Below are 13853 nucleotides of genomic sequence, written 5' to 3' on the forward strand. Positions count from 1 at the left end.
AATGCATTTAAATGTTAAGCCTCTGCTCCAGAGTGAATATGAGTCACATTTAATATGGATGTTCAGTAGGCATGAGTCAGGACCCTCTTTGTGAATATTCATAGCTCCTCCTGTAACCCTACTTAGCTAATCTGTTCAGGACAAATTCCTGCCTTACCATCCATTCCCTCAAAGTGCCTGCCTTTCCGGGTCTACCAGAGGCTATGCTTCCCAACCTGCAGATGGCCAGCCTGCAGGTTGCAATGCTTTACGAAAAATAAGATCTCCTTTCTAAATTTATAAATTGTGTGATTTTTAAGTTAACAGAGACCAAACCTGGAAATGGCATGGCATCACTTCTGTCTTATTCTGTTTGTCAAATAGTCACAAAGACAGCTCAGATTCAAGGGGAAGGGAAATAGGCTCTGCTTGTTGGGAGAAGGGGCAGGAATAAGTGGCAGCCATCTTTGGGATTATCTACCATGTATCTTGCAGAGTTGCTGTGGGAATTAAAGCAAGTTAATACATGCAAAACACTTAGAACAGAGCCTGGTTCATCAGATATATAAAAGTTAGCTTTTATTTAGATTCAAACTGTTGATCAAACTCACGAAGTAAGGCAGAGGCGAGGTTGGAGCCATGTCGCCTGCCCCTAGACTCCACTGTTTGATTGTGTTGAATGATTTGCTAAACCTTCATAGGGTAAAGTTCCACCCAGGGGAGAAGGCCACAACTAGGGTATTTCCTACATGGTTTACCGCATGAGTTTACTCTCACCATAGTCCTATAAGATAGGTGTGGTTATTCTCAACTTACAAGGAGGAAACTGAGGCTCAGAGAGTGAAATATCTTCTCTAGTTACCAGCTAGAACCATCCTGGTTACTCAAGAGAAATCTGCCATTTTTCTCTATCACGCAAGATCCTGTAATATGACATGCTAAAATTTAGACACCAGGTATTCGTGGCAGACTTACCACCCACGAGTCTGGACTCCTAATCAAGAAAGGGAGTGAAGACCATCTGAAGGGCTGGTCTCAGGGAGCTCTGCATGTTCAGGCAATCATTGTTTTCTAGATCTGCAACTTCCTTTTTATAATTCATATTAGATGCCTTCGCATGCTTCTTGAAGGTCTTTCATTTCAGAACCCATTCTAAGAATTGTAATAGTCTTATCTCTGAGTGTTTAGGCAGCATTGACAACACTATCAACCACAGCAACTTCCATTTGTCCAATGCTTAGTGAAGCCACAGCCTCAAAGGACCACACCAAAAGTAGGAACAAGAGGGCTTCAATGATCTTCCCAAATCTATAGCTAGTAGGTGGTATAAATGGGACTTGAAGCCAGGTATTCTGGTTCCAAATATTATGGTTTTTTCCATTATAGTATGCAAGCTTTCATTCTACCTTTTTGAGCCCCACATTCTCTACCAGTACAGTGGAAATTGATTGTGCCTGGCCTTGTGGAGATGCTGTGTGAATGTTTATTGAACAAGTGTTTATTGAGCTTCTACTATGTGTCAGACATTGTTCTGGATACTGAGACACAGAGATAAACAAGATAGACAAAAACCTCACCTTGTTGGGCTTACAGTCTGATAGGGAAGGCAGTCAATAAGCTCTTTGCCAATTCTCAGGCACTTTACAAAAGCAATAAATTATTTTTCCATTGAGGATCTAATACAAATATGGGTCACACTATGCACTCATTCATTCCATTTATTTTTCTCATTTATTCATTCATTCATTCAATTATTCAAGTAAGCACCCAATATTACTGGATACCAATTATGTGTCAAGTACCGCTAGGTGATAGGAAAAGAGAAATAATAAGACAGATTGAAGCCCCACCTGAATGAGGTTTATGATATAGAATGGAGAACAGAAATTAAATTGAGGAAGTGTTATAAATAACAACAGCAATATCAAAACAGTAATGCAATAATAATAGCAGTGACATCCTCTTGGCTGGTTTGAGTAACAATTTACAGCTTATGAAGGATGCACAGTTAGGGCTTGCTAAGTCAACTTGAGCTGGGTGGAGGTTATGAGGTCCAGAAGTGAAGGGCATCTGACACAGGGGCGGTCCTGTGAGCTGTGAGCACAAGATGAGCTCCGACACCTGATGGCATCTTCATCGTACCCCCAGGTGGTGCTGAGATGAGGGCCATGGAAGATAGAGCCAGCCAAAGGTGTGAGGTTTTTGTGGGCAGACATTAATGGCACGGCAGGGGGTTGTCCTAGCAGTCTCACTGAACTTGTGTCAGCTTTCAGGCGCTATCTGAGAGTGAGTACCTGTTAGTCTTGGCCTGATGTCAGTCCTTCAGTTTCCTCATTTGAGAAATGGAGACAACCCAGGCATCTACTCCAGGTCAAGGACTCAGGGAAGGAGCGTGATATGGTTTGGCTCTGTGTCTCCATCCAAATCTCATGTTTAATTGTAATCCCCAGTGTTGGAGGTGGGGCCTGGCGGAAGGTATTTGGATCATGGGGGCGGTTTCTCTTGAGTGGTTAGCACCATCTTCTTGGTGCTGTCCTCAAAATAGAGTGAATTCTCACGAAATCTGGTGGTTTAAAAGTGTGTGTGGCACCTCCCTGCTCTCTCTTTTGCTCCTGCTCTGGCCATGTGACATGACTGCTCCCTCTTTGCCTTCCGCCATGATTCTAAGTTTCCTGAGGCATCTCCAGAAGCTGAGCAGAGGTCAGCATCATGCTTCCTGTACAGCATGCAGAACAATGAGCCAATTAAACCTCTTTAAAAAAAAATTATCCAGTCTCAGGTATTTCTTTATAGCAATGGGAGAATGGAGTAACAGAGTTCATGAAAGCAACATTTTATTTTTTGTTTTTGTTTTTGACGTGCAAGTTTGGTAAACAATGGGGTGGGAAATGAAGATTCCCTGCAGGCTGAAATATTCCTGTGACTTTCAAGTTATGGGATAGGATGGCCTCTCTTTCTTCCCCTGAGGTTTCCTCTTTCTTAAAGATTTCTGGTTTCCGACTGTCCAATATTAATGTTCCACTCCTAGAAGTGCATGTGCTTTCCCATCCATCTTGACTTTCTCCCCACCAGTCTCAAGCTTTTACTCAATCACATCAAACTTTAAATCAATCTTCTATGGCTCCTTATTGCTGAGCTTCCCTCACTTATTCTCCTGGAAAAAAAATAAAACATACAACAGAAACCTAGCCTGCTCTCAAAGTGATTTTTAAATTGCCTCTTCTAGAACATAATGTTGCATCAGCCATGGCAGGTAGGTGGGAGGGGGAAGTGTGGATTCCAAACTCCACCTGCCATGTTCCCTCCCCTGCTTCTTCCAAGGCCCCCAGCCCTTGTTCCAGCATGGTGAGGATTTTCTTGGCCTCAGCTGATATTAGAACACCAGCCCCATCTAAGTGGCCTTTCTGCTTCCAGCCTGGTCCTGGTCAGCCCCTATCTGTGCTGCTGCAGGATGACTCTCCTCTTGGGGCTCTGATGGCCAAGTATAAGCAACCCACAACCTTCACTGACCCCTATCGCAGCCCACGAAGTGAGGACCTAGATCCTGGGTGTGGCAGTGAAGCCCCTTTACAGGAGTCCTCTAGTCCCACATCTGCATTTTGTGTTCCTGCCTGTAGGATGAGCATCCTATGCCCTACGTCAGAGACTATGGGCTCCCCACTGGGTGTGGACTGCCAGACACATAGCATCCATGGACCTCCCACACATTCCTAGGTTCATTCTAAACACATCTTCCAAGAACCTCCAATATGCCAGGGCCTCTTCAGAGGCCAGCGTGGGGCTCAGTGGCCCTTTCTAGAAGAGGGAGCCCCTGGCCTGGCCTCCCCATTCTCCTCCTGGTCATCCAAAGAACCTCTAGCACTGTGGCCCTGCTGCATTCCGTTTTTTGGTTATAGTTTTTCTTTTCTTGTTTAAATTTTTAAAATACTTTAAAATATGGACTTACATGAAGATAGTCTCAACGTGAGAAATTACAATAACACAGAAAAAATGCAAGCTGACCCTGTTACCAACTCACTCCCCTGCCTCACATCCCTGCCCCATGGCTCTGACTTGTCTTATTTGTATGCTCAAAATCTCAAAAATAAATTATTTCCATCTTATTTCACTTTTTTTTTACAATGAAAGTTTACACTTGCACATAGTTTGAAGAATCAAGAGTTCTACACGGCTTATCATGAGGCAGCAAATTCTTCCCCTGCCATTGCCTGAATCTGTCACCACGTTCTATGGTCTCAGATGAGGTTTCTTTTCTATCTTTCTCCTTTTTTTAAGATATTTATTTCTAATTAGTATGCTTATGTTACTCCTTTTTGATTTTACATTTTAGTCATTGTCTGTGGAATTCCTAGCATGGGCAGTGAGATTTTGCTTTCTGCCCCTTCTCCACTCACCCATCCCTCCCCACACCGCCACCCACCGCCACCCAACCACACACCTTCCCAAATCTCCATGGTAATTTTGGTTATCTCAGTTAGTATTTAGTGTTTATACTCCCATCCTGGGGAGTTTATTTCAAGCATTTCTCTAAAGACTCTTTTTCCTTCATTTCTCTCTTCTCTTTTTCTAAAACTCCTTCTATTCGGACATTGGGTTGTCTCTCTTATTGTCCTCTTCTTCCTAGAAGTGTCAAGTTTTCATCCAACCCTTCTTTGGAGTTTTTTATTCATGATATCTTATTTCTGACTTCTGGGGATCGGTTCCTCCTCTGACTCTTCCGTATTTAGAGATTCTCTCTGAGGATATTACAGTAGTTTTGTATAACAGTTTTCTTCCCCCTGCACAGTATCTGCTGCCTGCAACTTGCTTTTTGTTTTCTTCCTCTTTTTGTCTTGGTTCCTCAAATGAGAGTGTTTCCTCAAATGTCTGCTGAACCAGGCCTATCACTCCCACTTGAGAATGGTTCTCTATGGAGCTGACTGGGTGGCGTCGGAGGATGGGGAGGGCATACACAGGAGGGTCCACCTCCGCCATTTTACTGGAGAACCTCTGGAGAAATTTACTGGAGAAAATTCATCAGTTTCCTTCCTGGGGGCTACTCCTGACTGCTGGGGCTTGGAAACCAAATGTGGATAGAGACTGGGGCCTAAGGAACTGGTCTGCACACTGATGTTCACCCAACCTTCCTGTTCTCTAAGATATTCCACCAAGAAAGGGCCAGAGTCCCCATTATAAAGGGCTCCCTTTTATTCTCAGAGAATACATACAACTCCAGTCTTACAGCTGAGTCGGGGCGGGCAGTCACCTCTTGGCACTGGATTGCTCAGAAAATCTGAGATCTAACTGCTCTTTTTTGGTTTTTTTTTTTTTTTTTTTTTTTTTTTTGGAGACAGAGTCTCGCTCTGCTGCCCAGGCTGAAGTGCAGTAGCGCTTATCTTGTCTCAACCTCTACCTCCCAGGTTCAAGCAAGTCTCCTGTCTCAGCCTCCCGAGTAGCTGGGATTACAGGCATGTGCCAGCACACCCGGCTAATTTTTGTATTTTTAGTAGAAACGGGGTTTCACCATGTTGGCTAGGCTGGTCTCGAACTCCTGACCTCAAATGATCTGCCTGCCTTGGCCTCCCAAAGTGCTGGGACTAGAGGCGTGAGCCACTGCGCCTGGCCCTAACTGCTTTTTTTTAAGTTAACCTTCACCCAGTGCTCCTGTCCTGAGCTCCTTTTTTGCCCTCATTTCCAGAGATATCTAGTCCTGCCAAGCCCCAAGTCTTTGAGGGGTTTTGTTTTGCAAACCAGACAGCTTCCATGCTCTCCTTTGTGCTGGTTTGGGATTTAGCTGTCTTGGATCAGCTAAATAAATCAGCAGCCTCTCCCTCATCTGTTTTCCTGCATCCAGAATGCTTTCTCCCCTCATGTTCTTTCCATCTAGTTGTGCTTGTGCCTTTAAAAACATCCTCTAGTGCTGTATCATGAAGTTTTGTGATGTGGAGGAGCCAAATGTGACTTTTAAATGTCACCCTTAACTGGAAGTTTGAATTTGAGTTTTGGTTTTCTCATTAACTACAGAAGTATTATGCAGTGTATGTGTGTGTGTGTGTGTGTGTGTGTGTGTCTGTGTGTGTGTGTTTGATCTTCGCTCTCTCATGCCTGCACACTCTCCTCAATGTCATTTTGTTATTAACTTGTCTTTTTTGCTTTAGCATTATTGACAGTGATTGGGTCTCTGATTTCATTTTTTTGAAAAAGTTTTTTTTTTTAAAGAGAAACAATGAGTGTTCTTTGTTTATGTCTTCCTCAAAGCTATGGCATTAGGAGCATAAAAGTTCACAGCTGCTGTCTTTTCTCAGTAGGTTATCTATATTAGGAATTATATCTCTCTGTTCCCCTTTTTTCTTAGCATCTTGAATCCTACTTTATTTGATGTTACTAAATTTGCTTTCTTTTTGCTCACATTTACTTGCTTACCTTTTTTTTTCCGTTCTTTTGCTTTTTAATCTTTTTGTTTATTCCTCTCTCTTTTTTAGACCCAATCTCACACTTTCTATTTTAAGGGATAGATGAATCTAACCTATTCATGTTTATTATGAGAAACAAAATGTTTGTACCTTCTTTTGCCATCTTATTTATTAGTTTTTTACTTGTCTTTCTTTCTTGTTTTTTATTTTTTTTTCCTTTCCCCCATTTTGTCCCATTTGCTCAACTGATCACATTTAATTTTTTACTTTTCCTTTGGTCTTAGGTTTCGGAAGTTATACTTTCCATGTCTATTTTGTTCCATTTCAATTCAAAGCCAAGAAACCCACAACAAATAAAGGACCGAGATAACTAGACTTAAAGTGAGTTCCCAACAGTGGAAATAGACCAGGCTGATCAACAAAGAATGTGGCAGGAGTTTTCATGACTCAACATTCCAAACACAAGCTAAAATCACTAAGGTTTAAAAAACCTGGAAGCCTCTACTTGTGAAACTGTGGGATCTGTCTGCTGGAAACCCTCAGGGACAGGTGCTGGGAAAAGCTGGAGGATCAAGGGTGCACTTCCAGGCTCTGCTGTGACATGCCTTTGCCTGGTCTTTCCATTTGAGCTTGTGCAAGCTGCTTCCTTTTTCTCCGTCTTGAACTGTCTTGTATCTATGCTTTCTGTCCTCTGCTGACCCTCCTGCCAGCAAGATGGGGAGAGGGGAAGAGATAGGGCTTTGGAGAGAGAACAAGGAATGTGGGCTGGGAGTGATTCTCCTCCTGTGTTGTGAGCTCTGCGAAGCATCAAACATGGCTGGATATCCTTCTTCCGGACAGTTACATCTGCTGGTGCAGCCCGTCCTACAGGAGAGTGCTGACCGCCTGGGCCCCCTGTCACTGAGAACAGTGAGCAGGGCATATTTTTCCAGGAACCAGATATTGAGAATTAGTCTATTACATGCCGTTCATGCAATTAAATAGAAATTTGTGAGGCTATGTTGCCAGCAGCTGTGCAAGTTTGAGATCATACTGTATAAGCTGAATGAATCAAAATTGACCGACAGTTGCCTTGAGATTGGGAACCTGGGCAGTGGGGTGCCATAGAAGCCAGGCTTTGTTGGGGGAAATGGGAAGAAGTTTTATTGTCCCAAGAGGAATTGGGAGTGAGTGCCAGCCAGACCCAGAAAGGCCACAAGAGCTCTGGGCAGATGCTGGCATCTGCTGGGAGATACTGGCCCCTCTCATGATTCAACGTGCTCCCTGGCAATAAATGCCCTGGTTCAGTTTAGATTGGGCTTGAGGGCTGCTCTTGTGTCCAGGCTTGTGACTGTGGATGTCCATGCCTCCATTTTATTAGTTGCTTCCACCAGAGGATGTGGAGGTCTGGAAAACGTGGCAGGGGAGGGAGAGGAGTGTCTGGCTCAGAAATTTCAGGAGATAGAGGTTCCTTATGGAGCTAGCTGATGGGTGAGGGCTCCCAGGGCCACTTCAAGGTTCACTATAAGGAATACGTGGGGAAGCCTGTGGCAGAGGAGGCTCTGTCCATGTGTGGCCTGGGTGGCCTCAGGGTCATGAGCACCCGGGCTCTCCCAGCATCACAAAGTCCTGTTCCGAGGAGGCAGTGCTGTGGGCTGGTACAGGAGGAGGGTGACAGTAAGGGTCCAGGCAGGGCTCTGAAAGGCTGGGAGCAACTCTGGCAACTCCGTTCACAGTAATCAGAGTGACAGATCACCAACAGGTCAGCCAGGAAAGCCAAGACACTGTTGAAGGGCCAAGGCTGGTCTACAAAACTGGGAGGCCAGAAGGAAATGACTGTGGGGAACCAGAGGTGTGGTGCCTAGCCTAGGAGTGAGCCTGAGGGGCAGTTGGTGGCCAGGTGAGGGCAGGGCTGGGTGGGCTTGTTGGCTCAGATTTGAGTATCCAGTGTGCTAGGATTTGTATCCAGTTATGTGTATGTTATACAATTTAACCCCTAGCTCATCCCTGTGATGGAGGTAATATTGTCTCCATTTTACAAATGATACAATCTAAAGTAAAAAAAAAAAAAAAATGGACTCCCCATTGTAAACAAATGTGAACCTGAAACAGCCAGTCCTTCAAGATGAGTCCCCAGGGGCTAACTGGACCTAAATTTAAAATCGGGCCAAGTGGACATTGGCTGAGTAGGGATCACACATGTACTCTGCCTTCCCCCAAAGACCAGACTCCTGTTTAATTCTGGAACTTTCAGATCTCACCTGAACCAACCAATCAGAGTTCTCCTGAACCAACCCATCAGAACTCACTTTCCAGAGCTCAGCTGTATCATCCCTCAGAACTAAATAAGTCCAAATCCTTCATTTGCATAAACAGACCTGACTGGGAACCTGGGCTGGCACGTTTGCTATAAAACCCTCCTTTATGTTCTCTGGAACACACCTTCACCTTTTGCATGGAAGCTGTGTCTCCCCAGTTTGCAAACTGTTCACTGGAATAAAGTCTCTTTCCTCCATATTCCGTTTCAGAAAACTTTTGTTCACACTGCACAGCTAGCATGCTAGGTCTCATTCAGATCTAGCTGACTCCAGAGTTCCTATCTGGCTCACTTAACTACTTAGAGTTCTCCTTTCTCATACAATCAAGGAGGCTGGACAACATCAGGGTTTTCTGAATCCACCTTCATGATTTTTGTCATACTCACATTTCATCTGTGCTATTATTTGTGTAAAAGTTTTCCTGAAGCAGTCTTACTTCTAATTAATTTATTTTTATTGTGGTAATGTATGTGTAACACAAAGTCTACTATTTGAACCACTTTTAAATATATAGGTAAGTGCCATTAAGTGCATTCACGTTGCTGTGAAACACTTTTGGTTTTAACGTCAATATACGGTATTTTAGAAAGGAAAACTTGGTATCTCTATCACAAGCGGGAACTTTCCATAGAGGTAGCTATTGGAATGGACAGAACGAAGACAGAAAGTTATTCATGAGCAGCCAGTTCCTGTTGCACTGAAAGCTCTAAGTAAGATGAGGCCTGTTCCCTTTTCACCCCTGTGCCCCCATATTTTGTTTAAAAGGAGGATCCAAGTGTTTGAGAAGTGTCAAAGGTAGGCTCACAGGGTTGACACTTCATCCTTGACATGCTTAGAAGAACTGAAAGAGGAAAGGGACATTTTCTCATGCCCAGCTCCCCCTTCACCCCTTGCCCATCCCAGAGTCCCCTCTCTGCCCCCAAGCTGTGGGGATGGCTGGGATGTGAACCAGGTCCCTTCCCAGCAAGATTCCGTGACCTGTGACACCGAACAGGGGATCTGCCCTCTCTGACTTGGACCCATGACTAGAAGCAGCTTTTCGGACAAGTCCTTTAAGGTCCCTTCCTGTTTTATCCCCAAGAGATACCCTTTCTCTCTCTGAAACCCATCACAGGGACTGGATTGCCCAAGTGCTTCTGGCCCAGGTGTCTTGGATGGCAGCACACAGAGTACCTCATTATGACGTTTGCATGGGCCGCTGTGACGAGGCTATACTGTGATGGGCGAGGCTACTAGCTGCTCTGAGGGAGTAAACTTAGTGCAATTTGGATGAAAGGCAGATATTTAAAGCACCTTCTTAAAATGTGGGTCACACAGTGCTGGACACAGAAACCCTATGCAGGATGGGTGCAAGGGCTTCAGAGTGAGCCAGGTTTCAGTTTGAGGCTAGATGTGTCTGGTGACCCATTTTCCTGCAAGATACAAGTAATGAAATGTGTGCATGTATGTCCTTCTTGGAAGCATGAAGGGGCCAAAAAGAACATGGAAGACGTTGTTTTCTTAAGTTGGACAAGGACATTCTCTATCAACATTTTAAGGAAACATTTTCATTGCAGAAGTTGTGGACATGTTCCAGTAAAACAGGCTGTGATACCAGGAACATGGGGGATAAGAATGAAAATTACTTTGGAAATCCTGGCAAAACATCACTGTGATGGAGTCAGTGGCTCTGTGCCTTCCTCCCTTCTCCTGGGCATGGTCTTCCCTCTTGTGGAGCCCTGCCACGATGCCCACGGCACACCGGACATGCACTTCTCACCTGGGGCTTGATCTCATCTTTGTCCTTGTAGTAGAAAAGCTGATCCCCACGCAGCACAAACCAGCGCTGCTGCCAGTTCTTCATGATGCTCCTCTGCTTCTTCAGCCAGCCCGCCTTCAGCACGGGGCCCAGCCTGTGAGGGCACGGCATCCGCCCAGGGCTCCGGCTCTGCTCCCCCATCACTAGGCTTTTGGAGCGGGCTGAAAGCCAAGGACACACAGAGTGAGCATGAAGGCAGCGTGCCTGCTATCAGTCCTGCCCCCATCCTGGTGTCCCAGCTGCCTCGTGACTGAGGCATGGGAGCCCAGGCCAGCAGGATGTGAGCAGCTGGGCCTACTTCCCCTTGGCATTGAAGGGGCATGGGTTGGAGCATCTGTGCAGCAGCCTGCAGTGATCCCCCTGGGGTAGGGGTACAGCCTGCCCACCTGGTTAGTTTCTGCTCTGTCTCTGGGATCCTAGGTTCTTCATTCCTCCACATTTGTTCATCCATGCATCCATGTATCCAACCATGCATCCATCCATGCATCCACCTGTTCATCCACGGATTCATCCATCCACCTGTTCATTTGTTCAACGATTCATTTATTCATTCAGCCATTGCTTATTGATTTCTTACTATGTGCATAGAACCGTTCTAGTTTTCCAGGGGACAAAGTAGTGAAATAAAAAACAGATAAACATCTGGATCCTCCTGGAGCTCACAGTCTAGCAGGGTTCCTGTTGCTCAGGTCCAGAAGGAACTGGCCCCACCCAGATCTGGTTTCTGCTTAGCCCCTCTACTCTGGAGGCATCCGAGCCCCCAAAGCCTTTGTATTTGTTCCCTGGGAACATCCCACAGCGGGGCTTCTTCTTCAGCTGTTTGCTGTGCCTTGTTGGTGGCTTCCTGGCAGGGCAGAGGGGCCAGCACTCCTACCCCAGAGCCTCTGAGTGCCCGTGAGCCCTGCAGGTCCTTATTCTGGTTGATGGTGCTGAGCCACACCCCACCGAGGTTGGTGCTGCCCTTCACAGGGATGACTGAATTCTTGTCCCCTCTGCCCCTACTCCTTCCCCTTCTGTCCCCCTCCTTCATTCTCCTCTGTCCCCAGGGAAGCTCCTCTCCTCTCTCTGGCCAGTGTCAAGGCCATTGCCACAGTGATCACTAGGAGGGGCCATCTTGAACTCTGGAGAAATAATTCTGAGTTCAAATGTAATCACACCTGTAATTCTTAGGCCATGGATCCTAACTTGTGATTGGAAAGCACAGTGCCTGTGACCTACAATTCTTGCACTGTATCTGTGATTCTGTGTGTGTGGGTGTAAGCTCTTCCCACTACACTAGTGACTGCAGTTCTCTAAGCCTGGCCTACTTCTGCCCATGTGGTCCCACTAGCCTGGACTTTTCTTCCATCCCTCTTCCATCCATACCCTGGCATTAGCTGCATGGTGAGCTCCTATATATCCTTCAAGAGCCAACTCAAAGGACACTTCCTCCATGGAGGCTTCCTTCTGAATCTCCTCCAAATAGTCACTCCCTCCCCTACCAGGACAGGTGGCCCATGGCTGGTGATTATCTGTGTGGTTGTCTTTCTGCCACTCTGGACTGAAGGGTGGGGACTGGAGGAGATGATGTCTTACCCACTTCTACATGCGTGTCCTCGTTACTGTGGGGGGCAAGGAACAGACGTAAGTCATGGTGGTCAAATATCACTGGATACTTAGGGTCACCCTTATTGTTAGGTATTTTTTGTATCTTAACATGACAGTAAATATTACATAGTACTGGCTGGGCGCGGTGGCTCACGCCTGTAATCCCAGCACTTTGGGAGGCCAAGGCGGGCGGATCACGAGGTCAGGAGATTGAGACCGTCTTGGCTAACACGGCGAAACCCTGTCTCTACTAAAAATACAAAAAATTAGCTGGGCATGGTTGCAGGAGCCTGTAGTCCCAGCTACTCGGGAGGCTGAGGCAGGAGAATGGCCTGAATCCGGGAGGCGGAGCTTGCAGTGAGCTGAGATTGCGCCACTGCACTCCAGCCTGGGCAACAGAGCAAGACTCAGTCTCAAAAAAAAAAAAAAAATTACATAGCACTCAGGCACTGTCTGAGGACACATTATAGCTTGGTGTGTTGGGAGAAAAGCTGAGTGTTGAGAGAGAAGCTGAGGCAGGGCTTGGAACATGTCCAGGGTCCAGGGACTAAAACCCCTCGTGGACTTTGCAATGTGTCTAGACTTGCTGGCTCCTTGCTTCTAGCACTCCCATTATCTCAAGTAGCCATATGTTTCAAAGAAAATGCTAAACCATCACAGCTGTAGCACATTTGCTTGATACACTGCTTCCTTTCAACCTCCACATCCTCACCACCTGTTTTTTTGTTTGATCACCAATAAATGGTGTGGGCTCCCAGAGCTCCGGGCCTTCACGGCCTCCATACTAACATTGGCCCCCTGATCCCACTTTCTCTCTTAACTTGTCTTTTCTCATTCCTTTGACTCTGCTGGACTTCATCGCTCCCACAGCCTGGTATTGGGTCCAATCACTCCAACACTGATGTTCACACCTTCACCTCAACTGTCATATGGCCTGGGGTATAATACTGAATCTATCACTTTTACACAGGCCCCTGCTCTGGAAGGGGTTGTCCCCTCCAGACAGGCTGCTGCTCATGGACAACAGCAGCATTCACAGGAGGCCTCATCTCTTCTCTCTGGCACCCAAGCAGCTGTGATAGATCTATGGGTACCACTAGCCACCCTGGTGTCAGACTGTCTAGGTCCTCACCCGCTCCACCTTGATTCTCTGTTGCTGTCCCTCTGCTGCTGGAGAGGTTGGGGTTGAATGCTCTAGCCTTGCCTTGGCTGTGTTTTGGCCCAGAGAGGAAGTGGGTTGTTTGCATGCTTGCCCCTGAACACTGAAGCTGGATTGGTGATTCCTCAGGACAGTGGGTTTTTTCCAGAGACTAACGGGAAGGCAAATCAGGGAGCTGAGTGTGGATCACATGGCCCAGGACTTTCAAGGAAAACAGCCCCCTCTGAAGCCCAACAGCGCCCTGAAACTGGGCTTGAGCTTCACCTTATCTGTGTTTCAGAATGATCGGCACTTTTTTTCCCTCCTCTCTGTGGGGTTGGTCCCTGCACTTGTTCATGTGGATTTAGAGTGTGCTTCCCTCCTTTATATCTATGGCTGGTTATTATCCCTGCAAATGGACACACCGTACATTGCTTTTAGATTCTCACATTGATGGGTATTGGCACTCTCCTTAATGTGAGTTATTTAATTAAAAAGACGTTGGGACCCAACTGAAGAAATACAGGCTTTGGACTAAGGTTTGAGTTTGCATCACTGCCAGCTCTGTGAACTCTCTGTGCCTCAGTTTGCCAGTCAGAAAACTGGGCCCATATGAGATAACAACACCTCACCCAGCAGGGCAAGCTGGCAGAGGGGAGACA

General features: G+C 46.1%; 1 protein-coding gene across 28 annotated transcripts in view, besides 2 other annotated features; it reads right to left on the reverse strand.

Moving 5' to 3' along the window:
* The window catches only part of ARHGAP22 (Rho GTPase activating protein 22), a 226435-nt gene that overhangs the window by 142695 nt on the left and 69887 nt on the right, over positions 1–13853 (reverse strand). For 25 of the 28 annotated variants that reach the window (NR_045675.2, NR_144644.2, NR_144646.2 and 22 more), the window contains one exon: positions 10428–10627. Coding sequence is in view for 22 of the 28 variants with exons in the window: in XM_024448100.2 (XP_024303868.1) it covers positions 10428–10627 (200 nt within the window). In the remaining 6 variants the exon portion in view is untranslated. Of the gene's footprint in view, positions 1–1709; positions 3134–10427; positions 10628–13853 lie in introns of those variants that run through there. The other 3 variants (NM_001347736.2, XM_024448106.2, NM_001347737.2) reach the window with 1 other exon arrangement.
* Positions 2003–2504: an enhancer, noted in NCBI's record as "NANOG hESC enhancer chr10:49782573-49783074 (GRCh37/hg19 assembly coordinates)". NCBI's record gives its function as "activates a minimal SCP1, AML or CMV promoter by ChIP-STARR-seq in primed H9 embryonic stem cells {active_cell/tissue: H9 hESC(primed)}" and the evidence as "EXISTENCE:reporter gene assay evidence [ECO:0000049][PMID:30033119]".
* Positions 4875–4924: an enhancer, noted in NCBI's record as "active region_3331". NCBI's record gives its function as "activates an Ori minimal core promoter by ATAC-STARR-seq in GM12878 lymphoblastoid cells {active_cell/tissue: GM12878}" and the evidence as "EXISTENCE:reporter gene assay evidence [ECO:0000049][PMID:35858748]".

This window comes from Homo sapiens, chromosome 10 (assembly GCF_000001405.40).
Source record: "Homo sapiens chromosome 10, GRCh38.p14 Primary Assembly".
Taxonomy (NCBI): Eukaryota; Metazoa; Chordata; class Mammalia; order Primates; family Hominidae; genus Homo; species Homo sapiens.